This window comes from Homo sapiens, chromosome X (genome assembly GCF_000001405.40).
Source record: "Homo sapiens chromosome X, GRCh38.p14 Primary Assembly".
Lineage (NCBI taxonomy): Eukaryota > Metazoa > Chordata > Mammalia > Primates > Hominidae > Homo > Homo sapiens.
The window spans coordinates 48,270,287-48,297,993 of NC_000023.11; the positions used below are offsets into that span (position 1 = coordinate 48,270,287).

The 27,707-nt window shown below is 44.9% G+C and overlaps 4 pseudogenes; 2 read left to right on the forward strand and 2 right to left on the reverse strand.

The window, feature by feature from the left end:
* Positions 1-4,128: 4,128 nt before the first annotated feature.
* S100A11P6 (S100A11 pseudogene 6) lies at positions 4,129-4,764 on the reverse strand (annotated as a pseudogene).
* SSXP8 (SSX family pseudogene 8) lies at positions 6,306-9,065 on the forward strand (annotated as a pseudogene).
* Positions 6,418-7,312, reverse strand: SSX18P (SSX family member 18, pseudogene; annotated as a pseudogene).
* On the forward strand, positions 9,104-11,852 carry LOC791091 (ornithine aminotransferase pseudogene; annotated as a pseudogene).

Consider the following 27,707-nt stretch of genomic DNA (forward strand, 5'->3'; position numbering starts at 1 on the left):
GAGGCAGGCAGATCACTTGAGGTGAGGAGTTCGAGACCAACCTGGCCTACATTGCAAAAACCCTGCCTCTACCACAAATACAAAAATTAGCCGGCCATGGTGGTGGGCACCGGTGAATTCCAGTTACTGCGGGGGCTGAGGCATGAGAATCACTTGAACCCGGGAGATACACCGTGCAGTGAGCCGAGATCACGCCACTGTACTCCAGCCTGGGCGACAGAGTAAGTCCCTGTCTCAAAAAACAAACAGCATCTCTCGCCTACAGTGATTTGAGCTGTGGTCTTGTCTCCTCGGGTTTCTCTGTCAGTCTGATCCCATCTACTCTATCTCCCAGGAATGCCTCAATATATCTGGTGGACCACTGACACGTTTTCCTATTTTCCTCTACTGTTAAGGATTGACCCTTGAAAACATTTTCTTCCTAGTTTGATGGAACGTTGAGTGGGGCACGGGATCTAGCTGCCATCTTGCTCCAATCATCTGTTATTAGATATTTCATGTATTTTTTGTCACAATATAAGTGTAATTTTTCTCAATTTGGTTTTCTAAATGGCTATTATTGGCATGTAGAAACCCTATCTATTATTGTTAATAATATTTTGTTACCTGTCTGGGTACAGCTTCCCCTGTATTTTGGCACAAGACTCAATCTATTTTATTCTTCAAAACAAAACTGACAGGCTGAGTGTGGTGGCTCACACCTGTAATCCCAGCACTTAGGGAGGCCGAGGTGTGTGGATCAACTGAGGTCAGGATTTCGAGACCAGCCTGGCCAAGATGGTAAAACCCCATCTCTACTAAAAATACAAAAAAAAAAAAAAAATTAGCCGGGCATTGGTGGTGCACGCCTGTAGTCCCAGCTACTAGGGCAGCTGAGGCGGGAGGATCATTTGAACTCGGGAGGCGGAGATCGCAGTGAGCCAAGGTGGCACCACTGCACTCCAGCCTCGTGGACAGAAACTCTATCTCTAAATAAAAAGAAAAAGAAAAAAAGAAAATTCACTTCACCGGCAATAGATAGTTATAAAAGGATAATTTATGGAAGATTTCATAGGGGAGACTGATGGAAAGAAAGGAAGTATACATTTTACAGAGCTGAGCAGTTCACTGCAAAAATCACCAGAACTGCCTTTTTCTCCAAAAATGCTACCCATAAGCTATTCTACTACTGGTTCTTCTAGTCCTTTTCTCTATTCCAAATCCTCAAATTGTCCATTTCCTTATTGGGGTAATTTTCCTCTGCCCAGATCTGGGTCCTCCACCACACTTAACACTGTCTGCGAGTGTGTGAATTCCCATTATTTTAGCTCAGGTTCCCAAGGAAACAGGCTTTGGGCCATACAGGACACCTCTAGACAGACTATACTGAGAAGCCATGCTTGGAACGGTGCATGGGGAGAGGAGAGGGAATTTACGTACCTGGCTCTCACTCATGGTTTTTTTTTTTTTAATTGGTCAAAATTTACCCCATAGGCATGAACTCCCCCACACTTCTAGATTGCATCATCTGCCCCTTTCACAGCTGTCTTGGAAGCCAGATCCCACACTTTGAAGTGTAGTGTTTCATAGAAACCAAAAGTGGTCCTAGAGGCCAGGTGTGGTGGCTCACGCCTGTAATCCCATCACTTTGGGATGCCAAGGCAGGAAGTTCATGAGGTCAGGAGTTTGAGTCTAGCCTGGCGAGCATGGTGAAACCCAGTCTCTACTAAAAATACAAAAATTAGCCCGGCATGGTGGCACACACCTGTAATCTCAGCTACTCGGGAGGCTGAGGCAGGAGAATCGCTTGACCCTGGGAAGCAGAGGTTGCAGTGAGCTGAGATCGCACCACGGCACTTCAGCCTGGGCGACAGAGCAAGACTCCATCTGAAAAACAAAACAAAACAAACAAACAAACAATCAAAAAAGTGGTAGCAGAAACCAGAAAGTCCATGTATGTAGCTAATTGGCCTGGTTGTATAGCAGCAGCCAAGGGTGAAAACTAAATACTCCCAGACAAGTTCTAAGTTCACCAAGGAATTGGAGTACCCATCTGTGCTAGTTAATTGCCTTTATCTGAAGGAAAAATAAAACTCATATCTCTATGACAAGCAGGTGCTTAGAGCTTGGAGAAAGGCACCTAGGCAAACTCCCCTGGTGACAGGGAGACTGGGACGTCATCTTCCTCAATGTTCACGTTTCAAAGAGATGGCTCAAGGCCCTGAAGAAAGACCTTTCTAGGGACTGGTCATGGTGGCTCACACCTGTAATTCCAACACTTTGGGAGGCTGAGGCTGGAGTATCACTTGAGGCCTGGAGTTCAAGTCGAAGACATTCCTGGGATATATGGGGCCAGAGGCTTACATATCAAAGGAAGAATTTACCAATACAAATTTTCTGAAGGAAATGCTCTAGGGAAAGGGAAATGGGAAAAGGTCTCTTCTTCCCTTTTGGCAACAGGAAAATCTCAATTTTATGTGTAGTTAACCTTACAATTTCCCCCTTTTGTTATTCTTTTATAGTAACATTACAATTTTCTAATTATCTCCACTGCTGTTTCTATCTTTCTCTGGGTAGTGTACAGCCACATAGATATCCAACAAGTCCATAGTAAGATGCAAAGCAAAGCAATTATCAGGATTATAATAGAATGACTTTTTTTTTTCGGGACAGAGTTTCACTCTCATTGCCCAGGCTGGAATGCAATGGTGCGATCTCAGCTCGCTGCAACCTCTGTCTCCTGAGTTCAAGCGATTTTCCTTCCTCAGCCTCCCAAGTAGCTGGGATTACAGGCATGCACCATGAAGCCCAGCTAACTTTGTATTTTTTGTAGAGATGGGGTTTCACCATGTTAGCCAGGATGGACATGAACTCCTCACCCCAGGTGATCCGCCCACCTCGGCCTCCCAAAGTGTGAGGATTACAGACGTGAGCCACCATGCCCGGTCTAGAATGAATTTTTAAATTCAGTGTAATACTCACCTCGTCAGGGGGCGGGGCGACCATTCAACACATCATAGTGGTTAATTGTGTCAAAGACAAAATAAATTATAGAGACAAATTCCTAAATCAAATGCTGTATTTGGGAATCACAAAATTGCAATTCAGGGCATATACACGGACTGGGGTGGTCTTCAGTATGTCCAACGAACAAACAGAAGTTGGAAGCTTTATCGGAAAGAAAAATGTTACATATTGTTTTGAAATGAGGCTCACTGGCCCTGGAGAAGCTGGTTCATTTGCACAATCAGTTTTAAAATTCCCTCTTTTGATGAAGATCTTTCTTTCAAAACCTCACTGATCAGCCATCTTAAAGTGAGGCTTCATTGTCACTCCATGCCAGGATGGACCTGTGCCGGTTGTCTTTGTCCCATGTCAAGGGAAAGGTAAGGGAGTCTATATCAGGAACATGGGCCACATTTGAGCCACAAAGAGGCCAGAAGGAAAAAAAAATCAGGCATGTTTGTTTGGAGTTCAGCATCTTATTAGTTCCATCTATATTAGCATTCATCTTGAAGCACTAGGCCAACATTATCCTGTTGGGAGAACTGGCTGAACAAATATTAGACAGGCAACAAGAACAGAGCTCAAAGATCATAATACAAAAATAATTAGCAATCTTTTTTTTTGTTTGTTTTATTTTATTGCAATGGAGTCTTGCTCTGTCGCCCAGGATGAAGTGCAGTGGCATGATCCCGGCTCACCGCAACCTCCACCTCCTGGGTTCAAGCAATTCTCCTGTGTCAGCCTCCTGAGTAGCCAGGATTAAAGATGTGTGCCACGAAGCCCTGCTACATATTTTTGTATTTTTAGTAGAGATGTGGTTTCACCGTGTTGGCCAGGCTGGTCTCAAACTCCTGATCTCAAGTGATCTGCCCACCTCAGCCTCCCAAAGTGCTGGGATAACAGGTGTGAGCCATCGTGCCTGGCCCTATAACCAATGTTTTTAATTGTATCCGTCTATAAAGAGAGAGCAGATTTTTTTGTGTGTGTTAAAAAAAAAGTGGGCCAGGTGCAATGGCTCACACCTATAATCCCAGAACTTTGGGAGAGTACTTGAGCCCAGGAGTTCAAGATCAGCCTGGGAAACATAACTAGACCCCCATCTCTGAAAAAAAAAAAAAAAGAAAAAGAAAATAAAGAGAAAAGAAAAGTAAAGTATGGTTTTATTACTACCTGCATGAGGTGGTAGGTGTGCTTGAGAGAAGGGAAGAGAGGAAAGGAGGGGAGGAGAAGACAGGGCAGAGGAGGGGAGGGGGAGGAGGAGAAGGGGGGAGAGGGAGTGGGAAGCTGCAGGCAGGAAGGAATGGTTTTATTACTGAGTGGGAAGCTGCAGGCAGGAAGGAATGGTTTTATTACTACCTGCAGGCAGGGCCTGCATGAGGTGGTGGGTGTGCTGGGCCCAGGGTATGTGTGGGCTGTGAGCAGATGGTGATGGTGAGGCTGGAAGGAAAGGGGGTGGCTTGGAAACCAGGCCCAGGGGATCCTCAGATCTGCTTCTTGGAATGGGCAGCCTTGAGAAAAGAGTCATGGTAAGCCACAGTCATGCCATCCATCAGATGCAGACATTCTTGGAAATCTAACTGCCCATCACTAGTGAGGTCCAGTTTCTTCATCATGTGGTCAAAGACACTGGGGCCTCTGGTTCTTCGTGAAGGCATCTAGTTCTCTATTCATGAAGCTTGGGAACTCTGTCTTGGAGTGAATGCTATTGTAACCATCCTTTCCAGCCTATTTCTGGAAAACAGCAATCGGACTCTCTGTAGGGCTGGAGATTTTTGCCATGTTGGAGTTGAATGAGACACCAAGAGCAGGTTTTTACTGGACCTGTGTAAATAACCATACTGCCGTAAGAATATTTCCAAATAGTTTCAAATTCTGGAGGAATCGAGCAGAAAGAAAAAGCAAATCTTTCCATCTTAGTTTACAAAAGTACACTTTACCAAATTGTTATAAACTATAGACAGTTTAACAGAGGAAATTTTCTCTTTTTTTTTTCATTTTTTGAGAAAGGTTTGTGCCCTGTTGCACAGGCTGGAGTGCAGTGGTGCAAACATGGCTCCCTGCAACCTCTGCATCCTGACTCAAGTGATCCTCCCACCTCGGCCTCCCAAGTAGCTGGGACCACAGGTGCATGCCACCATGCCCAGCTAATTTTTTTTTTTTGAGACAGGGTTTTGCCATGTTGTCCAGACTTGTCTTGAACTCCTGGGCTCAAGAAATCCTCCTGCCTTGGCTTCCAAAGTGAGCCACCACACCCCACCAGAAAATTTTATTAAATGTGCAAAACCAAACATTTAAGTAAAAAACAAAGCTTTTTTTCTTAATTTCTTTTAGAAACCAGGTCTCCTATGTTGCCCAGGTTTGTCTTGAAGTCCTGCACTCAAGGGATCCTTCTGTCTTGGCCTCTGAGAATGCTAGGATTACAGGTGTGAGCCACTGTGCCTAGCTGAAGAATAAATAAAGTTTTAAATAAAGGTCATAAAAACATCAGTTATTTAGCCTCATGTAATTTTGTTCTGCTTGATCTTGATGATCAGGTGCATGAACCCATCAGTTTTCATTAGAGTTTTCAAGAATTATTTAGTTCATTTATCTGAAAGTTATTACAAATCTATATTCAATAGTACTTGTTAAAATCTTTTTTATGAATCTGATTCTGGATACATTTAGAGAAGAATCAACACTGTAGATGATACAGCTTAGAATAGCAATGATTAAGATCTGATCAAAGGTCCATAATTGAGAAAAAATTCAATTATTTCTATTATGTAGAACATTTTAAGATAAGAACCAGAATCATGACTGATAGCATCATACCAGGACCATCAGAGCTCTGTAAAATTTATATGATCTTCAGAACATTAACATCAATAACATATTTATATAAATGTAAACAGCAATTAGTGTATTTTATTATTTGAAATTGCTTTTCATATCATCTAACATATCAAATAAGCCTAATGAGAGACACATTCTTTGAGGCTCTCCGGGGGCCTCACTGGTAAATCTCACTCAATTTTAGGTTAAAAAGACTTAAATTAGAATTTGATTAGTTTGTTCGACAGCAATAGATAAATAAAAAAGAATTGGATTTTGGGGAAGTTTGTCAAAGATGTTAAAAGGCTCAAAACACTTGTTCAAAACAGGATCACGGGTCACTGTGAAATAATAGTCACTCATTTAACCAGAGTTATAGTCAACAGACTTCAAAAGCAATACAGAAAGTTACACAGACTTAAAAACTTAACCCTTTCAAAGCTCAGTTTTCCTAAGCAAGAAGAAACCTAATTAGTGTAGTTAACTTTCTGTATGCAACTTTTTTTTCACTCAGCCCTGATGTGTATGAGGGAACAAACGCCTGAGGATCTTTCCCAGGTAGCTGAGCTGAAAAGCAGTTGGGCTTGATGAGACCCTATCCAGCCCCTTCCCATCTACTCACCCTGATGCCCATGGTTATAGTCATTATCAAAATCATTCCCCTGGAAGTCTGCGGTCCGTTTATTACACATGAAAGGTGGGAGGGTTGCCTTGAAACCTAGAAAGAAGCAAAATGTTTATTCCTTAAGAGACAAGCTTGGGCCTGGTATGGTGGCTCATGTCTGTAATACTTTCTGCAGCCTAAGAAGTAGCCAGAGCTGGAAAAGGGATGCTCATGTGTCCCCAGACTTGTCTGTTCCTAGAACTTTCTGTTACCTAGTTTAGTCATGGCCTCATACTTTCTCTTCATATACACATAGAGGATTTTCTCTGAGGCTTTCATCTTTTCCCACTCTTCCTTAGAGAAGTATTTGGCAATATCATCGAAGGCCTACAAAAAAAAAAGGAATTATGGCAGGGACTCAGCTAGGCATGTCTGCCATTCAGCTGGAGCCACTTCCTGTGTGCTGGATCTGGGAATTGGGGATGATAATCCGTCCTGGTTGATGCCATGGCTAACTGACAGAACATGGGGGGCCTACCCTAGCTTCTCCCCTGCCACACAGTAGAGCTTTAATGCTGCTGTCTGGCTCTCTTCCCACCATCCAGAATGGACTGAGAGTCACCAAATGTAGTGCAAGGTCAGAGACTTGTCTCCAGGGATGCTAGATGATGACAGAGCGAGGGTGGGAGGCTCCCAAGGGTCCAGATCTCCCCTGAGACCCTGCTCCTTGTCCCCAGTACCTCTGTCCTCCCCTCCTCAGAAACCGGGTCACCCCACACTGTCCCTGGGCCACTACTGTATCTCCTCCAGGTCACCTCACCTTTTGTATCTTCTCTGGTATTTGAGCATCAACCCTGGGTCTCCTTGCAAAGGCGTCGTCTCCATTCATGGCACCGGGAGCAGTCTGACCTGCAAGAGAAACTGCCTGAGACTTTCCAGGCTCAAGACCTTTGGTCCTGTGGAGGGAGAAATCAGTGAAGTCCGGCCACACTCAGTCACCTCGAATCAGGTGCTGCATTTCTCCATCCGGGGCTTATCTGTCCCTGAGTAAGGACATGGGGAGAAATCAGATGAAAACAGGGAACCAGGGGTCTCTGGGAGAAGTATTGATCGGGGATGACAGGTTTCCTATGGGCAAAGCAGCCTTGAGTCTTTGGGAGGGGGTTGGCTAATGTTGTTAGTAGTTTCCCTGGGGCCAGGCTTACCCTGAAAGATGTACAGACCCTTGTTTGGGAAGGCAGGGACCTGACTGTGCAATTTTATTGAGTGGGGGCGTTCTGACACCCCCACTCAATAAATAGAGGAAGGGATGTGAGTCCCAGACATAACGTGGTCTCTCTGGTGATGGATCTGATCAGGCAGAAGGATGGGGGTTTCTGTTCTTTTGAAGAGAAATGAGCATTGCTACTATGAATGAATTTAGAGGCTATTACTGGGTGATTTTTAAATTATTAGAAGGAAGAGAGCTAGAATTTCTGAGCCTACAAGAGCCCACCAACACTTAGAGAGAATGTGGGGGCGTTTCAAGATGTAGCATTCAGCCAGGCGCAGTGACTCTCACCTGTAATCCCAGCACTTTGGGAGGCCGAGGCGTGCAGATCGCTTGAGCCCAGGAGGTCGAGATCAGGCTGGGAAACAGAGCAAAACTCCCGTGTCTACAAAAAATTAGCTGGGGGTGGTGGCGCAGGCCTGTACCATCCCAGCACTTTGGGAGGCCAAGGTGGGCAGATAGCTTGAGCCCAGGAGCTTGAGACCAGCCTGGCCAACATAGCGAAACCATCTCTACTAAAAAAAAAACAAAAAAAAGAAAGAAAAAAAAGAAGAAACACCTTAGCAGAAGCGGGGTGGCGTGTGCCTGTAGTCTCAAGGCCTAGGTGAGAGGATCACTTGAGCCCAGGAGGAAAGATTTGAGTGAGCTTTTTTTTTTTCTGATACATAGTCTTGCTCTGTTGCCCAGGCTGGGGTGCAATGGCATGATCTTGGCTCACTGCAACCTTTGCCTCGTGGGTTCAAGCAATCCACCAGCTGTGGCCTCCAAAAGTGCAGGGATTACAAGCGTGAGCCACTGTGCCCAGCCCAAATTTCTTAAGTTACTACAGAGTTCCCAGGAAAAATCCCATACCTGAAAAAGTTAGAAACTGACAAGAAGGATTTGAGATGGCGACCTGCCTCACATACACTCCTTATTAAAACTAGATAACAAATGCACCGCAGAGGAGAGGAGGGGTAGGAAGAATGGAAAAAGAAAACCAGTGTATGCTTACTCTGATTTTGGAAGAATCAAAAGAGAAAATCAGAGCGTGTGTACTCTGCAGAAGAATGGAAAGAGAGAGAAAGGCAGAGCATGCGTACTCTGCACTTAAAGTAGCCAATCCCTGGGGATGCTTTAGGCGGGAAAATCAGAGTCTCCGCCCCCAGTTTGAGAAGGTTCTGTCCCTGGAGGCGGGACTGATAGACGCCACATCAGCTTCGTTCCTCCCGCCTACTGTTCTGACTTCTGATTGGCCAGATGAAGTTCACTAACTGCCCTGATTGGTCCATCATCCTTGAGCAGTGACATTGCACAATATTGTCTCCTCCTCCAGCCACACTTTGTTGCCATTGCGACAGAGTCAGGAGATTTTGATCTCTCCAAAGACCTCCCCTGGATCTTGTGTTAAACATCTGGATTCTAGTCTGAACAGCGAGAAGAAAAAAATAGTCGGATCTGTGATTTTTCTACTTGAAAGACACAATGTTTTCCAAACTAGCACATTTGCAGAGCTTTGCTGTACTTAGTCGTGGCTTTCATTCTTCAGTGGCTTCTATATCTGTTGCAACTGAAAAAACAGTCCAAGGCCCTCCAACCTCTGCTTACATTTTTGAAAGGGAATCTAAGTGTGGTGTGCACAATTACCATCCTTTACCTGTAGCCCTGGAGAGACAAAAATGTATTTACTTATGGGATATGATTGTGGTATTGGTTACATCCACCTTGGCCAATCCTCCCGCCTCGGTCTCACAACTACAGGCACGAACCACCCCACCCCCACTCATATTTTTTGGTTTTTGATTTTTTAATAGAGACGGTTTCACTATGTTGGTCAGGCTGGTCTCGACGTCCTGGGCTCAAGGGATCCTCCCGCTGCAGCCTTGGGACTACAGGCGTGCACCAACCTGCCCATGATTTTTTTTTTTTTAATAGAAACCATGTTTCGCTATGTTAACCAGGCTGGCCTCAACGTCCTGGGTTCAAGGGCTCCTTCTGCCACTGCCTCAGGACTACTGGTATGTGCCACCTGGCCCATGCTTTATTTGTTTGTTTGTTTGTTTGTTTGTTTCATTTTTAGTAGAAACCGGATTTTGCTATGTTGCCCAGGCTGGTCTCAATCTCCTGGACTCAAGTGATGTTTTTACCTCGGCCTCAGGACTACAGGCGTGTGCCATTCTGCCTTGCTCATTTTTATTTTATTTATTTATTTTTTTATTTTCATTTTTTTTTCGGAGAGGCAGGCTTTCGCTATGTTGGTCAGGCTGGTATCGACCTCCTGGGCTCAAGCAATCCTCCCACTTTGGCCTGGGACCTGCAGGGGTGAGCCACCCCGCCCACGCTATTTTTTTGTTGTTCTTGTTATTAGAAATGGGGTTTCGCTATGTTGCCCAGGCTGGCCTCGACCTCCTGGACTCAAGCAATCCTCCCCCATCGGCCTTGGGACTACAGGCTCACACCACCTAGCCCCCACTAATATTTTTAATTTTTCTAGTAGAGACAGTTTTGCTATGTTGTCCAGGCTGTTCTCTACCTCCTGGGCTCAAGCGATCCTCCGGCCTCGGCCTTGGGTCTACAGGCATGCACCACCCTGCCTTTTGCTGTTTTTCCCAGGCTGGTCCTGACCTCCTGGGCTCACTCAATGATTTGAACCCAGGAATCGGAGGTTGCATTGAGCTGAGATCACACCACTGCACTCCAGCTTGGGCGACAGAGCAAGACTGTCAAATAAATAAATACACGAAAGAAAGGAAAGGAAAAAGGAAAGGAGGAGGAAAGGAAAAAGGAAAGGAAAGGAAAAAGGGAAGGGAAGGGAGGGGAGGGGAGGGGAGGGGAGGGGAGGGGAGGGGAGGGGAGGGGAGGGGAGGGGAGGGGAAGGGAAGGGAAGGGAAGGGAAGGGAAGGGAAGGGAAGGGAAGGGAAGGGAAGGGAAGGGAAGGGAAGGGAAGGGAAGGGAAGGGAAGGGAAGGGAAGGGCGACCAGCTGACTCTCCATAAGAACAGTAAGCTTTGTGGTATTTTAAGTTATCCTGGTCCCGTCTCGTGCTCCTAGCTTGGTTCTGTTCATTGCTGATGAAATACAGATAGGATTGGCCAGAACTGGTAGATGGCTGGCTGTTGATCATGAAAATGTCAGACCTGATATAGACCTGCTTGGAAAGGCCCTTTCTGGGGGCTGACACTCTTGTGTCTGCAGTGCTGTGGGATGATGACATAATGCTGACCATTAAGCCAGGGGAACGTGGGTCCACATACGGTGGCAATCCACTAGGCTGCTGAGTGACCATCGCAGCCCTTGAGGTTTTAGAAGAAGAAAACCTTGCTGAAAATGCAAGGTTTTTATCTCAAGGGTATTATCTTGAGAAATGAACCCATGAAGCTACCTTCTGATGCTGTGACTGCGGTAAGAGGAAAATGATTATTTTATGTATTCATTTATTTATTTTTTTGAGTCAGAGGTTCACTCTGGTTGCCCAGGCTGCAGTGCAATGCCACGATCTTGGCTCACTGCAACCTCCGCCTCCTGGGTTCAAGCCATTCTCCTGCCTCAGCCTCCTGAGTAGCTGGGATTACAGGCACGTGCCCCTATTCCCAGCTAATTTTTGAATTTTTAGTAGAGATGGGGTTTCACCATGTTGGTCAGGCTGATCTCGAACTCCAGAACTCAGGTGATGCACCCGCCTCGGCCTCCCAAAATGTTGGGATTACAGGCGTGATCCACTCTACCCAGGAGGAAAATAATTATTAATTTCTATTGTTATTAAAGAAACCAAAGATTGTGATGCTTGGAAGGTATGTCTACAACTTCCAGATTATGGGCTTCTGGCCAAGCCAACCCATGGTGACATCATCAGGTTTCGCCTCTGCTGGTGGTCAAGGAGGATGAGATTCGAGAGTCCAGTGAAATCAATAACAAGACCATCTTGTCATTCTGAGGGTAGCAGCTGTTTTCACTGGTCCCTGGGAGCCGGCTGGAGACAGGTGGTCCTGTAAAAGCTCTGCTCTTAATGCGGGCACATTCCACTCCCATGTGTCTTCAAAACCTTTTTCTGGAATATATGTGTTTTTCAGTTGATACAAAAATCTATGTTTTTCTCAGTTGATATATAATAGAACAACATTTTTGAACCTGCCTTTTGCTTTGTAACATAAGTAAGAGAATGTAAAGGCATCTCTATTCAGTGAAAGTATTTTGATGTGCAGAACATGGCTGGGTGCAGTGGTTCATGCTTGTAATCCCAGCATTTTGGGAGGGCGAGGTGGGCAGATCACTTGAGGTCAGGAGTTTGAGACCAGCCTGGCCAACATGGAGAAACCCAGTCTCTACTAAAAATACAAAAATTAGCTAGGCGAGTTGGTGGGTGCCTGTAGTCCTAGCTACATGGGAGGCCGAGACAGGAGAATCACTTGAACCTGGGAGGCAGATGTTGCAGTGAGCTGAGATTGTGCCACTTCACTCCACCCTAGGTGACAGACTGAGAATCCCCTTAGGAGGAAAAAAAAAAAAAGGAAAACGAGGTACAGAACATTTCCATCACCACAATGCTATCCCTTGTGCTACTCATTTTTAGTAATACTCACTCTTCTCCCATCTACCACCCCTAACCCCTGGCAACCTCTAATCTGTTTTTCATTTCCACAATTTTGTCTTTTCTAGAATGTTGTACAAATGAAATCTTGTAGTATATAACGTTTTAGGGGCTTATTTCACTCAGCATAATTCCATGGAGATTCCTCCAAGATATTAATATTTGTGTATCAATAGTTCATTGTTGTTGTTGTTGAAACAGAGTCTCGCTCTGTCGCCCAGGCTGGAGTCCAGTGGCATGATCTCGGCTCACTGCAACCTCTGCCTCCTGGGTTCAAGTGATTTTCCTGCCTCAGCCTCCCAAGTAGCTGTGACTACAGGCGTGCGCCACCACACCCTGGTAATTTTTGTATTAGTCGTAGAAACGCGGTTTCAACATATTGGCAAGTCTGGTTTTGAACTCCCGATGTCGTGATCCACCCGCCTCGGCCTCCCAAAGTGCTGGGATTACCTATGGGAGACACTGGGGCCAGTAAATAGTTCATTTTTATTACTGAGTAGTATTCCATGGTATGGATGTACCACAGTTCTACCATTCGCTTATTGCAGGACATATTGATTATTTCCAGCTTTTGGCTATTACAAGTAAAGCTGCTATGAACAATTATGTACAGGTTTCTGGATGGACATACATTTTAATTTCTCTGAAGTGTAATTGTTGAATTGTATGGTAATTGCATGTTTAGTCTTATAAGAAACTACCAAACTGCTTTCCAGAGTGGCTGTAAGATTTTACCTTCCCAGCAGCACTAAATGAACTGTCCAGTTTCTCTGCATCCTTGTCACCATTTGGTGACTATGTTGTCACTATGTCTTTTATTTTAGCTATTGTAATAAGTGTGTAGTGATACCTCATTGTGGTCTTAATTTGCATCCAATGAAGCAAATGAGTGTTGAACATCTTTTCATGTGCTTATTTGCTTATTCCTTCTTCAGTGAAATGTTCACATCTTTTCATGATTTTCTAATTGGATTATTTGTTTATATTTTTTACCATTGAGGTTTATTCTTCTTATTATTATTATTATTTTTCTTGAGAAAGAGTCTCACTCTGTTACCCAGGCTGGGGTGCAGGGAATGATCTTGGCTCACTCCAACCTCCACCTCCCAGGTTCAAGTGATTCTCATGCCTCAGCCTCCCGAGTAGCTGGGATTACAGGCAGGCATCATCATGCCTGTCTAATTTTTTATTTTCAGTAGAGATGGTATTTTGCCATGTTGCCCAGGCTGGTCTCGAACTCCTGGCCTCAAGGGATCTGCCCTCCGTCGACCTCGACCTTTCAATGTGCTGGGATTACAAGCCTGAGCCACCATGCTCAGCCTACCGGTGAGTTTTGAGAGTACTATACATATCCATTATATATTCTGGATGTGAGTCCTTTCTTAGATATGTGGTTTGCAAACATTTCCCCCAGGTCATACCCTTTTTTTCATCATTTTAACAAGATTTCTTGTAGAGCAAAACTTTTAAATGGGATGCAATCCAATTTATTTGTTTTCCTTATGGATTATGCTTTTTGAACTGTTCACTATGCCCTAGATCTCAGATGTTTCTCCTATGCTTTCTTGTAAAAGTCTTTTTTTAGTTTTATATTTTAGATTTAAGTCTATGATCCACTTGAGTTTTTTTTTTTTTTTTTTTTGTATAAAGGTAAGAAGATTAGGCCTTTTTTTTTTTTTTTTTTTTTTTGGCCTGTGGATATGAAACTGCTCTAGCACCATATGTTAAGCAGACAATACTTCCTTATTTTGTCTCTTCGTAAAAAAAATCAGTGTGGGGCTATTTCTAGGTTCTCTATTTTGTTCCCGTGATCTATGTGTCTATCCTTCTCTCAATACTACACAGTCTTGATTCCTGTAGCTATATAAGAAGTATTGAAATATGGTAGAGCCATTCCTCCCACCTTATTCTTCTTTTCCAAAAATTGTCTTAGCTACATATATATATTGTGAGATGCAGTCTCACTTGTGTTGCCCAAGCTGGAGCGCAGTGGGGTGATCTCGGCTCACTACAACCTCTGGTTCAAGTGATTCTCCTGTCTCAGCCTCCCAAGTAGCTGGGATTTCAGCTGTGTGCCACCACGCCTGGCTAATTTTTGTATTTTTAGTAGAGGGGGGGTTTCGCCATGTTGGCCAGGCTGGTCTTTAACTCCTGACCTCAAGCAATCCACCCGTATCGGCTTCCCAAAGTGCTGGGATTACAGGCGTGAGCAACCATGCTCGGCATTGTCTAAGCTATTGAAAATTTGTTACAGCAGCAATCAAGAATGAATACACACAGAAACATTTAATAGCGAAACAAAATAGAAGGTCAAGAAACAGACTAATCTGTATGCAAACTTCAGCATGCATTTCCAAACAGTGGGCAAAAGATGATGGGTTGTATAATATATGACTGCTTGACAAGCGTCTATCCATTTGAAAAAATAAAGATTAAGTCCTTACTTTGAAGCACATAAAATAATAAATTCTAAAAATTCAGTGACTTAAATGTGAAAACCTGAAATCATAAAGAACTAGATGAAAATTTAGGAAAATATTACAGTGTAAGACACCTTGAGTTGGCATAGGAACTTCCTGACATTACACCAAGGCTATGAACAATGAATCTGACATAAAGATGTAAAAATTAAAGTATCATCTAATTCAAAAGACACCATAAACAACTGTTTAAAAAGGCAAATGTTGGGGAAATTGGTGAAGCATCCCCAATAAATTAAGAGTAACCATCTCTAATATACAACAAAGCTTTTGCCTATCTATAAGAGAAACTGGAACAACCCAATGAGAAAATGTGTTCAGGCATGGCACTACTTCACCGTATAGCAGAAAAGGATTACGAAATAGAAAGTACGAAAGAAAAATAATAAAGGAAATGGAGAATAGAACCCAAAAGTTTCAACATTCGTCCAATAGAAGCTCCAGAGATAGGCCAGGCGCAGTGGCTCACGCCTGTAATCCCAGCACTTTGGGAGGCCGAGGTGGGCGGATCACCTGAGGTCACGAGCTTGAGGCCATCCTGGCCAATGTGGTGAAACCCCATCTCCACTAAAAATACAAAAATTAGCCAGGCATGGTGGCACATGCCTGTAATCCTAGCTACTAGCGGTGCTGAGGCAGGAGAATCACTTGGACTTGGGAGGCGGAGGTTGCAGTGAGCCGAGATCGTGCCACTGTACTCCAACCTGGGCAACAGCGCTAGACTCTGACTCAAAAAAAAAAAAAAGAAAAGAAAGAAAAAAGAAAGGAAAAGAAAAGAAAAAAAAAGAAGTTCCAGAGATAGAAAATAGAAAGACCGGGTCGGGCGCCATGGCTCACACCTGTAATCCCAGCACTTTGGGAGGCCAAGGCAGGCAGATCACCTGAGGTCAGGAGTTAGAGACCAGCCTGGCCAACATGGTGAAACCTCATCTCAACTGCAAATACAAAAATTAGCCCGGTGTGGTTGTGCACACCTGTAACCCCAGCTACTCAGCAGGTTGGGGCAGGAGAATCACTTGAACCTGGGAGGCGGAGGTTGCAGTGAGGTGAGATCACACCATTGCACTTCAGCCTGGGCAACAACAGTGAAACTGTCTAAAAATAAATAAATAAATAAATAAAAATAAAAGGCCGGGCATGGTGGCTCACACCTGTAATCCCAGCACCTTGGGAGGCTGATGCAGGCAGCTCACCTGTGATCAGGAGTTGGAGACCAGCCTGGCCAACATGGTGAAGCCTCGTCTCTACAAAAATACAAAAATTAGTCAGGCATAGTGTCACACGCCTGTGGTCCCAGCTACTCAAGGGACTGAGGCAGGAAAATTGCTTGGACTCAGGAGGAGGCAGAGGTGCAGTGAGTCAAGATCGAGTCACTGCACTCCAGCCTGGGCGAAAGAGCAAGACTCCGTCTCCATATAAAAAAAAAAAAGAATGAAGTCGAAACACATCTAATAGTAGCCTTATAAGAGAAGAATATAGTCATTAAAAAGGAGAGTGTACTTAAACAAGTAATGAGTGAGAATTTCTCAGATTTAGACAAATGTCTTAAGATTTAAAGGGATCTTCGTACACACACACATACACACACACAGGAACAGTGAAATGAAAAATTGTGAAAGACAAAGAAAAAATATTTTTTAAATGATCTGAGAGAAACAGCAGGTTACTTACAAAGGAAAAATATTTAAACCTTCATCAGGCCTCTCAAACACCACACTGGAGGCAAGGATACAATAGTGTAATAACTCCAAACTGTTGAACGAAAGGAATTTGTTTTCTTTTTTTTTTGAGACAGAGTCTAGCTTTGTCACCCAGGCTCAAGTGCAGTGGCATGATCTCGGCTCACTGTAACCTCTGCCTCCCAGTTTCAAGCGATTCTCCTCAGCCTCCTGAGTAGCTGGGGCTACAGGCACACACCACCACACCTGGCTAATTTTTGTACTTTTAGTGCAAAGTTAGTAGAGATGGGGTTTCGCCATGTTGGCCAGGCTGATCTCGAACTCCTGACCTGAGGTGATCTGCCTGCCTTGGCCTCCCAATGTGCTGGGATTATAGGGGTAAGCCACTGCACCCAGCGAAAGAAAGGAATTTTTATATTTGGTGGAGTAAGGCAATGTCAGGCATATAACACTTCAGGAGATCGAAGACACAGGGAAATGTTAAAGCAAACAAGTATTTATTGCAATTGTTAAAGACGGTAAGGAAGGGCCATCTGCAGTGGCTCATGCCTGTAATCCCAGCACTTTGGGAATCCAAGGCAAGAGGGTTCGTTGAGCCCAGGAATTCAAGACCAGCCTGGGCAACATGGCGAAACCCCGTCTCTACAAAAAAATACAAAAATTAGACAGGCACATCAAGTTCCTGGGTCTGTAGAGAATTTTTTTTAAAAATAGCTGGATTTGGTAGTGTGTACCTATAGTCCCAGCTACTTGGGAGGCTGGGACAGGAAGATTGCTTGAGCCCTGGAGTTTGAGGCTGCAGTGAGCTAGGATTGTGTCACTGCACTCCAGCCTGAGAGACAGAGTGAGACTTTGTCTCTGAAAATAAAAAAAAAAGATCGTAAGGACGACTTTACTCAGAGCGGGAACTACTGTGATAGGCACAGGGACAACTGCAATGGGGTCTTGCGGTGGGAGAGTGATATTGGGATCGACTTCAACTCCACCAAGGACAAGTGGGGATTTGTAGTCAGGGAGTAGGAGCCGGGGGTCAGAAGATGGGAAATTACTTGGAGGAAATCTCAGGTGTGCAGGGGGATTCTGGATAAACTGATTTGACAGGATTTTGGTGAAACAGGCTAAATGGGCAGAGTCCCTGGATGAAGGACAGAGCCCGAGGTTGGGACCTAGTCAGAAACAGGACTCAGAGGAGCCTGACTCAAGTTTGGTCAAAGGAGAGTGTCTCTGTGTGAAAGCATAAGCAAGAAAGTCAACAGAAGTAAAATGAATGGATCACAAAGGAGAATTTTTGTGCATTGCTAAGCAGGACTCTGCTTTAACCATTGTGAAAGTTTATTATGTGAAGTGAGTCATTCTTAGTTGTTTTTTAAGTTCTTATTTGCAGAGGAAGCCTTCAGGTACTATGCTTCAGAGAGAACAGGTTGTAACTTTTTGTTTGTTTGGTGTTTTTTGAGACAGAGTCACTATGTTGCCAGGCTAGAGTGCAGTGGCTCCTTCTCCGCTCACTGCAGCCTCCGGCTCCCGGGTTCAAGCAATTCTCCTGACTGAGCCTCCCGAGTAGCTGAGACTACAGGCCCATGCCACCATGCCGGGCTACTTTTTTGCATTTTTAGTAGAGACCGGATTTCACTGTGTTAGCCAGGATGGTGTGGATCTCCTGACCTCGTGATCCGCAAGTCCTGGTGATCCAACAAGTCTGTGTTGATGTTGATGCCAGAGAGATATAATGAGGCATTCCTGACCTACACTTCCTGTCATGGCCTGAAACCGTCTCTCAGGTTAAATTTTAAAAGAGCCCTGGCTTAGGAGGACATCCATTCAGATGGTGGGGGGCAGGGGGCTTAGGATTTTATTTTTGATTTATAAGTCTTATAAGATAAAAGTGCATAAATTTTAAGGAACAAGTCTCGTGCCTGATGTATGGACCACACAAAAAGTTCACCAAACTATCCAATGCCATAACCAGAGACATTCCAAAGACAAATCAGGGTGAGGAGATGATATTTCCACACTGTAGACAGATTTTCCGAAGACATCAGAATAAGTCTTCATATCATAATGAGACTCTTATCCCCTTAATGTCTACATTTTTCCCTTGACAGAACCTAACCCCCAAATCCTTTCCTTCACCTAGTGGTCCCTTTTATAGAGTTGGCACTCTGCTTTAATTCAACCCAGTCCTAAAATGCTACTCAAAGACTACAAGAGGTCTCATTCACTTCCCCCATAGTCTTTTAATTTGTTTAGCTGGTGTTTACCTCAGTCTTGGGATCTTGGTTCAAAACCATTGTACAAACTAAATTTATTATACTATTGCTAATTATAGCTGGGTGCGGTGGCTCACGCCTGTAATCCCAGCACTTTGGGATGCCAAGGAGGGCGGATCACTTGAGATCAGGAGTGCGAGACCAGCCTGGCCAACATGGTGAAACCCTGTCTCTACTGAAAATACAAAAATTAGCCAGGCATGGTTGTAAGCAAATGTAATCCCAGCTACTCGGGAGGCTGAGGCAGGAGAATCTCTTGAACTCAGGAGATGGAGGTTGCATTGAGCCGGGATCACGCCACTGCACTTCAGCCTGGGAGACAAAGCAAGAATCCATCAAAATAAAATAAAATAAAACAATTGCTACTTATTTTGATATTATGATCTTTGAGCTCCATTCTTGTTGCCTGTCTAATATTTGTTAAGCCAGTTCTCCTAACAGGATAATGTTAGCCCAGTGAGTCAAGATGATTGCTAATACAGATGGGACTAATAACATGGAACTTGATGCTGAACTCCAGGCAAACCTGGCATGGAGTGACAATGAAGCCTCACTTTAAGATGGTTGATCAGTGAGGTTTTGAAAGAAAGGTGTTGTTGAAAAGAGGGAATGTGAAAGCTGATTGTGCAAATGAACCAGCTTCTCCAGTGCCAATGCGACTCATTTCAAAACAATATGTAACACTTTTCTTTCTAATAAAACTTCCAGCTTCTCTGTGTTCGTTGGACATACTGAAGACCACCCCAGTCCTTGTATATGCCCTGGATTGCAATTTTGTGATTCCCAAATACAGCATTTGATTTAGGATTTGTCTCTATAATTTATTTTGACTTTAACACAATTAACCAGTATGATGTGTTTAAAGGTCGCCCCGTCCCCTGACAAGGTGAGTATTATACTGAATTTAAAAATTCATTCTAGAACAGGCATGGTGGCTCATGTCTGTAATCCTAACACTTTGGGAGGCCGAGGTGGGTGGATCACCTGGGGTGAGGAGTTCAAAACCAGCCTGGCTAAAATGGTGAAACCCCATATCTACAAAAAATACAAAATTAGCTGGGCCTGGTGGCGCATGCCTGTAATCCCAGCTACTTGGGAGGCTGAGACAGGAGAATCGCTTGAACTCAGGAGACAGAGGTTGCAGTGAGCCGACATCGCACCGTTGCACTCCAGCCTGGGCAACAAGAGAGAAACTCTGTCCCGAAAAAAAAAAAGCATTCTATTATAATCTTGATAATTGCTTTGCTGTGCATTTTACTATGGACTTGTTGGATATTTAGGTGGCTGTAAACTATGCAGAGAAAGTTAGAAACAGCAGTGGAGATAATTAGAAAATTGTAGTGTTACTATAAAAGAATAAGAAAAGGGGGAAATTGTAAGGGTAACGAAACATAAAATTGAATTTTTCCTGTTGCCTAAAGGGAAGAAGAAACCTTTCTCCATTTCACCTTCCTTAGAGCATTTCCTTGAGAAAATTTGTATTTGTAAATTCTTCCTTTGATCTGTAAGCCTCTGTCCACCCTATAACCCAGGAATGTCTTGAACTTGAACTCCAGGCCTCAAGTGATCCTCCAGCCTCAGCCTCCCAAAGTGTTGGGATTACAGGCATGAGCCACCACGCCCAGTCCCTAGAAATGTCTTTCTTCAAGGCCTTGGAGCCATCTCTTTGAAATGTGAACATCGAGGAAGATGATTTCCTTGTTTCCCTGTCACCAGGGGAGTTTAGCCTAGGTGACTTGCTCCAAACTGTAAGCACCTGCTTGTCATAGAGATATGAGTTTTATTTTTCCTTCAGATAAGGGCAGTTAACTAGCACAGATGGGTACTCCAAATACTTGGTGAACTTAGGACTTGCCTGGGAATATTTAGTTTTCATCCTTGGCTGTTGCTGTACAACCAGGCCAGTTAGCCACACACCTGAAATTTCTGGTTTCTGCTACGACTTTTTATTGTTTGTTTGGCTTTTTCTTGTTTGTTTGTTTTTGAGAGGGAGTCTCCCTCTGTTGCCCAGGCTGGAGTGCATTGGTGCAATCCCAGCTCATTGCAACCTCTGCCCCCCAGGGTCCAGCGATTCTCCTTCCTCAGCCTCCCGAGTAGCTGGGATTACATGTATGTACCATCATGCCCAACTAATTTCTGTATTTTTAGTAGAGACGGGGTTTCACCATGCTGGCCAGGATGGTCTCGAACTCCTGACCTCATAATCCGCCTGTCTTGGCCTCCCACAGTGCTGGGATTACAGGTGTGAGCCACCACGCCTGGCCTCTGCTAACACTTTTGGATTGTATGAAACACTACACTTCCAAGTGTGGGATCTGGCTTCCTAGACAGCTGTCAAAGGGGCAGTTGATGCAATCTAGAAGTGTAGGGGAGTTCGCACCTGTGGGGTAAATTTTGACCAATAAGAAAAGGAACCAGGAGTGAGAGTCAGGAACGTAATTCCCTCTCCTCTCCTCTCCCCATGCACCATTCCAGGAGGCATTGTTTCTCAGTATAGTCTGTCTAGAGGTGTCCTGTATGGCCCAAATTCTGTTTCCTTGGGAACCTGAGCTAAAACAATGGGCATGCAAACACTCGAAGAGAGTGCTAAGTGTTGTGGAGGACCCAGATCTGGGCAGAGGAAAATTATCCCAATAAGAAAATGGACAATTTGAGGATGTGGAATAGAGGGAAGGACTAGAAGAACCAGTAGTAGTATAGCTTAGGGGTACTATTTTTGGAGAAAAAGGCAGTTCTGGTGATTGTTCCAGTGAATTGCTCAGCTCTGTTATATATATATATATATATATATATATATATATATATATATCCTTTCTTTCCATCATTTTCCCCTATGAAATCATCCATAAAGTATCCTTTTATAACTATCTGTTGCCTGTGAAGTGAATTTTCTTTTTTTCTTTATCTTTTTTATTTAGAGATAGAGTCTCTGTCGCCCGGGCTGGAGTGCAGTGGTGCGATCTCGACTCACTGCAATCTCCGCCTCCCGAGTTCAAATGATCCTCCCGCCTCAGCTGCCCTAGTAGCTGGGACTACAGGCGCGCACCACCAATGCCCAGCTAATTTTTTAATTTTATTGTATCTTTAGTACAGAAGGGGGTTCACCATCTCGCCCAGGCTGGTCTCGAACTCAGTTGATCCACCCGCCTCAGTCTCCCAAAGTGCTGGGATTACAGGCGTGAGCCACCGCACCCAGCCTGTCACTTTCCTTTTGGAGAATAAAACATATTGAGTCTTCTGCCAAAATGCAGGGGAAGCTGCACCCAGACAGGTAACAAAACATTATATATATATAGATAGGTTTTCTACATACCAATATTAACCATTTAGAAAACCAAATTGAGAAAAAATACACTTATATAGTGACAAATATACATAAAATATCTAAAACCAGATGATTGGAGCAAGATGGCAGATAGATCCCATGCCCCACTCAACATTCCATTGAACTGGGATGAAAATGTTTTCAAGGGTCAATCCTTAACAGTAGAGGAAAATAGGAAAACGTGCCAGTGGTCCACCAGAAATATTGAGGCATTCCTGGGAGATAGAGTAGATGGGATCAGACTGATAGAGAAACCCAAGGAGACAAGACCACAGCTCAAATCACTGTAGGCGAGAGATGCTGTTTGAGACAGAGACTTACTCTGTCGCCCAGGCTGGAGTGCAGTGGCGTGATCTCGGCTCACTGCACACTCTATCTCCCAGGTTCAAGGGATTCTCCTGCTTCACTCCCCACTGTATCTGGAATTCACAGGAGCCTGCCACCACCGCCAGCTGATTTTTGTATTTTTAGTAGAGATGGGGGTTTCACCCTGTTGGCCAGGCTGGTCTCCAACTCCTGACCTCAAGTGATCTGCCTGCCTCGGCCTCCCAAAGGGCTGATATTACAGAGTGGGTCACCGCGCCTGCCCAGGAGACGCTCTTTGTAACAAAGCCTCTGAAAATCCCCAAACCCTAAATCAAAAAAACACGGAGCTGGAAAGGGCCTTAGGATAATCATCAGGTAGGTTAATTTAAAAGTTCGTTAGAAACGTCTGAATCAGCCAGATTCCGCTCCAACACCACACTCAGATTGGCTGGCAGTAGCCACTTTTGTCTCTAAGATGAAACTCTGATAATTGTTCATTAAAGAAAGTGAAGGCCTGGCGAGGTGGCTCACACTTGTCATCCCAGCACTTTGGGAGGCTGAGGCAGGAGGATTGCCTGAGGCCAGTGTATCCAGACCAGCCTGGGCAACATAGTGGATGCCGTCTCTATAAAAAAATACAAAAACTAGCTGGGTGTGGTGGCGTGTGCCTGTAGTCCCAGCTAGATCAGAAGCTGAAGTGGGAGAATCCCTTGAGCCTGGGAGATCCGGGCTGCAGTGAGCTGTGCTTGCATCACTGCGTTCCAGCCTCGGCGACAGACTGCGATTCTGTCTCAAAAAAAAAAGTAATGTATCAGGACTTGGTGTAACTTCAGCCCTTTACAGTAATAAACAAGGAGGGAAACACATTTGTGGAGAGGGGACCATGTTCACTCTTTATCCATGATAGACAGATAGTCCGGAGCTTTATATACCCATGGAACCTAAGGAAAAATGTTCCCTTTCATGACTCACAATCTTCCAGCCACCCTTCCTTGTATCTGTCTTGTGGGCTCCGGGAACCACCTTATGGATCCCATCATCCCAGGGAGAAAGAAAAATCAAATCCTTCATTATCTCTTTTGGGGTATGCGCTCCTCTAGTTGCATGGAGTTTAAGGCACTCAATATCTAATAGCTGAATGTTACATTTGTGTAATACAGAACTATATTGGGATAAAACAGAATTTGTTTCCTCTGAGACACAGGTAGAGGCAGGTCCACACTGACCTGGGTGGCAGCCACCTCTTCCTGAAGTGCCAGGCAGGGCATGCTCACAGATCTGGGGAACCTCTTGCTCCTGGAGCCCCACAACCTCCTTCCTGGCACCCTCTCCCTCTGGTGGCTGTGACAGCCCACACTTGGCCTTGGGTATCCCCTGCTTCTTTGCCTGCCCTTCTTCTGCCCAGGCTGCACATCTCTGTCTCCCACTGTCCCCACTATGTCCACGATTGCCTCTTCCTCCCTGCACTCTCCATCTCTAAGGGCTCCTTGTCTTGGAAAATGAACCCACAGCCTCTACCTTGTGACTGGGGACAGAACCCGGAGTTTGTTCAATTCTCCCTCCCTCCACCACACACACCTGTCCTCCTTAATGTTTCTGAAGTCAGTGAGCTCCAAACTCAGCTCCTCCTGCACCTGCCAGCTGTAGGACCTGTGACAAGACGCCTGCCATCTCTCTGGGACTCCGTCTCTCATCTGTCTTATAGGCATAATGATCATAGTGTCCTCCTTCTAAGGCTGGGTAGAACCAGGAGGCCAAGGTGATGGGCCACCAACCGGCAAAACAGCTCCAATCCTGCCTCCATCTGGGGCTGGTGTTTCAAGTCCATGGTGTGTGAATGGAGCTTTGATGTCTCCATTCACACACAATGCTTTGTGCTAAAATAGACTCCCCTCTGCCCTTCCCTTCCCCACAACTGTTTCACCTCTGCACCATGCAATGGTACATGTGAGAAAGAACTGTCCCATTCCCAAATCATCGTCCCCACCCCAGCCCCCAGGCCCTTGGGTGGTGAGACCCTTGATGGGCGCTCTCATGCTTCTGTCCAGGAGACTTTCCCACCAGTTGCTCCCCTGCATGGAGACTAAGTGGACTCCTCTATTTCCTGTCCATCACAGGGTCTACAGTGCACGCATCTGCCTGATTCCTCCACTTTCCTCAGATGACAATTTCATCTGTGTCTCCTCCCACATCCACCCAAATGGACCCTTCCAGACCTTGAAACCTAAAATTTTTCAGAGAGAAAAGGCCAAGATGCCCAACCACCTGCTGCAGAATCCTGCTCCAGGACTGAAGTGTATAGTCTGTATCAAAATAAAAACTGGAGGCCAGGTGCTGCGGCTCAGGCCTGTAATCCCAACACTTTAGGAGACCAAGGTGGGAGGATCGCTTTGGCACAGGAGGTTAACACCAGCCTGGGTAACATAGAGAGATTTTCTTGACAAAACCTTAAAAAAATTAGTGGGTCATGATGGTGCATTCCTGTAGTCACAGCTTCTCTGGAGGCTGAGGTGGGAGGATCACTTGAGCCCACGAGTTCAAGGCTGCATTGAGCTATGATCATGCCACTGCACTCTAGCCTGGGAAGTGCAAGATCGCTTCTCTAGCAAAAATAAACAAACAAAGAAACCCAACAACTGGAAACATCCTCCTCTGGAATGGGGGTCAGGAACATCTGTCTGCCTTGTTCCTTGATGTCTCTCCAGCACCTAGAACAACGTCCAGCATGAGAACACACTCATTAGTGTTTTGTTGAATAAATGACTCCTTTGACACAGCAATTCAACTTCTAAGAATCTTTCCTAAAGAAATATTCACACACGTGCAGAGACCTGTGCGCACATTAATGAGAGGAGCAAACAACTGGGGAACGTTTGCAAAGGTGTATTAACTGTCAGTGACTGATACGGGGAATCAGAGGAGGGGAGTACATGCTGAACAGGAAACAGAGTGAGGGGGGCTTGACCAGGACGCATGGCAATGGGGAAAAGCAGATGGGAGATGCTTATACTGGTACTTGGTGTGTGTGTGTGTCTCTGTGTGTGTGTGTGTGTGTGTGTGTAAATGCAGAGGAGAAAATCGGAAATTAAACACTCAGAACTGCCCTCAGTAGTCACATGTGGGGAGAGAGGAAGGTAGTGCTGTTCTATGGAGAGAATACCTGACTATACTTGTTTTCTGAGGTAGGTGCATGGATACACAAACCGAAATACACATTAAGCATGTCTTGCTCATCAATGAAAACATTAATATCTAACAGAATTGCACACTATAAGAAAATACAACGGAAACACTAACATCGAACTCTTGGCACACTAAAAAATGAAGCTCAACTTTTCACTGTTGTGAACACTTGCTTTCACTTGCTATGCACCTGATGACGAGGGGTCCGCAGCCATGCCCACGTTCGTGAAAGGTCACCACATTCTGCTTCTCATCATGGGCATGTGTCGTATCCCCGAGGCTGAGGCAAGAAGAGAGAAGGAAAGTAAGTGGCAGTGAGTTCCCACCACGTGACAACTCAATCTCAACTCCTCCTGACCTGCAGACCTTGCACACTCTGATTCTGTCCTACCTCAGGACCTGTACACGCCTTCCACGGTTCCTCGAAGTGAACCATCTGCTCATGCCACAGTGACTTCTTCGCCTGGGTTATCCATTCCTAGGCTAGAGGAAGGTGTGGCCCACATACAGGGCTGACCTGGAGTTTGGAAACACACAGCATCCTGGGTAGGGAGCATCCCTGGATATACAGGGCAGGGAGTAAAAAGAGCTTGCGAAGACCAGGCGCGGTGGCTCACGCCTGTAATCCCAGAACTTTGGGAGGCCGAGGCGGGTGGATCACAAGGTCAGGAGACCGAGACCATCCTGGCTAACACGGTGAAACCCCGTCTCTACCAAAAACACAAAAAAAATTACCCGGGCGTGGTGGCGGGCGCTTGTAGTCCCAGCTACTGGAGAGGCTGAGGCAGGAGAATGGCATGAACCCGTGAGGCGGAGCTTGCAGTAAGCGGAGATCATGCTGCTGTACTGCAGCCTGGGCCACAAAGGGAGAATCCGTCAAAAAAAAAAAAAAAAAACGTGGGAAATCTCTCATCATTCGGCCTCAATGCTGTACCCTAGAAAATTATGAGAAGGGAATGATTTGGGGAACAAGTGACAGATGGGATACCAGTACCATAACAGAATACCACATCTGCAGGGATGTGGGGGATGAGCCGAAGGTTCACTTACGGAGTTACTCGTCGTCTTCTTCAGGGTCGCTGATCTCTTCATAAATCACCAGCTGCTTTCTCTCACGCAGTCTGTGGGTCCAGGCATGTTTCCCCCTTTTGGGTCCTGTGATGGAGAATAGTTGGAAAGTGAGGGTTGGGTAGGTTGGAGAGTGTTAGGCTCTGTTTTCTCAAAAAAAGGAGATGCCTCCCCCCTCCCAAGTGCCCATGGGCCTTCTTTATCCAGTTTTTCACATTCTCTGGCTTAGAGAGGCTGAGACCTTAGACCCACACCAATACAGGCCAAATGCCAATTAAAGTTTTAGCTTCTGGCTGCTTCTGTTGTGGGGTTTAGATTCCCAACCTCTTCACTTACGGGAACATCCACCCTTACCTCCTTTCATTCAGCACGTGTTTTTATTGAGGGCACCGAGGCATACTTTTTTTTATCGCACAACATTTTCATAGTGCTTCACAGATGCTGCAATGTTTTTTTTGGAAACTCTCATCAATTTTACACTTTTCCATTATTATTATATCTGTTATAGTGATCTGTGATCAGTGAGCTTTGATATTATTACTGCAATTGTTTTTGTTGTTTTTCAGGCTTTTAAAATAATTTTAAGTTTTAAATTTTTAATTTTTATTTTATTTTATTTTATTTGAGACGAAGTCTCGCTCTGTCACCCAGACTGGAGTGCAGTGGAGCAATCTCAGCTCACTGCAACCTCTGCCTCTCCAGTTCAAGCAATTCTCCTGCCTCAGCCTCCCAAGTAGCTGGGACTACAGGAGCATGTCACCACGCCTGGCTAATATTTTCTATTTTTAGTAGAGACAGGGTTTCACTGTATTAGCCAGGATGGTCTCGATCTCCCAACTTCACGATCGGCCTGCTTCAGCCTCCCAAAGTGCTGGGATTACAGGCGTGAGCCACATTGCCCGTCCGTGTGTTTTATTTTTGTGCGTACACAGTAGGTGTATGTGCTTATGGGGTACGTGAGATGTTTTGATACACGCATGCTATGCGTAATAATCACATCATGGAAAATAGGGTATCCATCCCCTCAACCATTTATCCTTGTGTTACAAACAATCCAATTACACTCTTCTAGTTTTTTAAAAATGTACAATTATTATTGACAATAATCACCCTGTTCTGTGTAATTGTTTGGGGGGTGGGTACCATGAACTGCACCCATA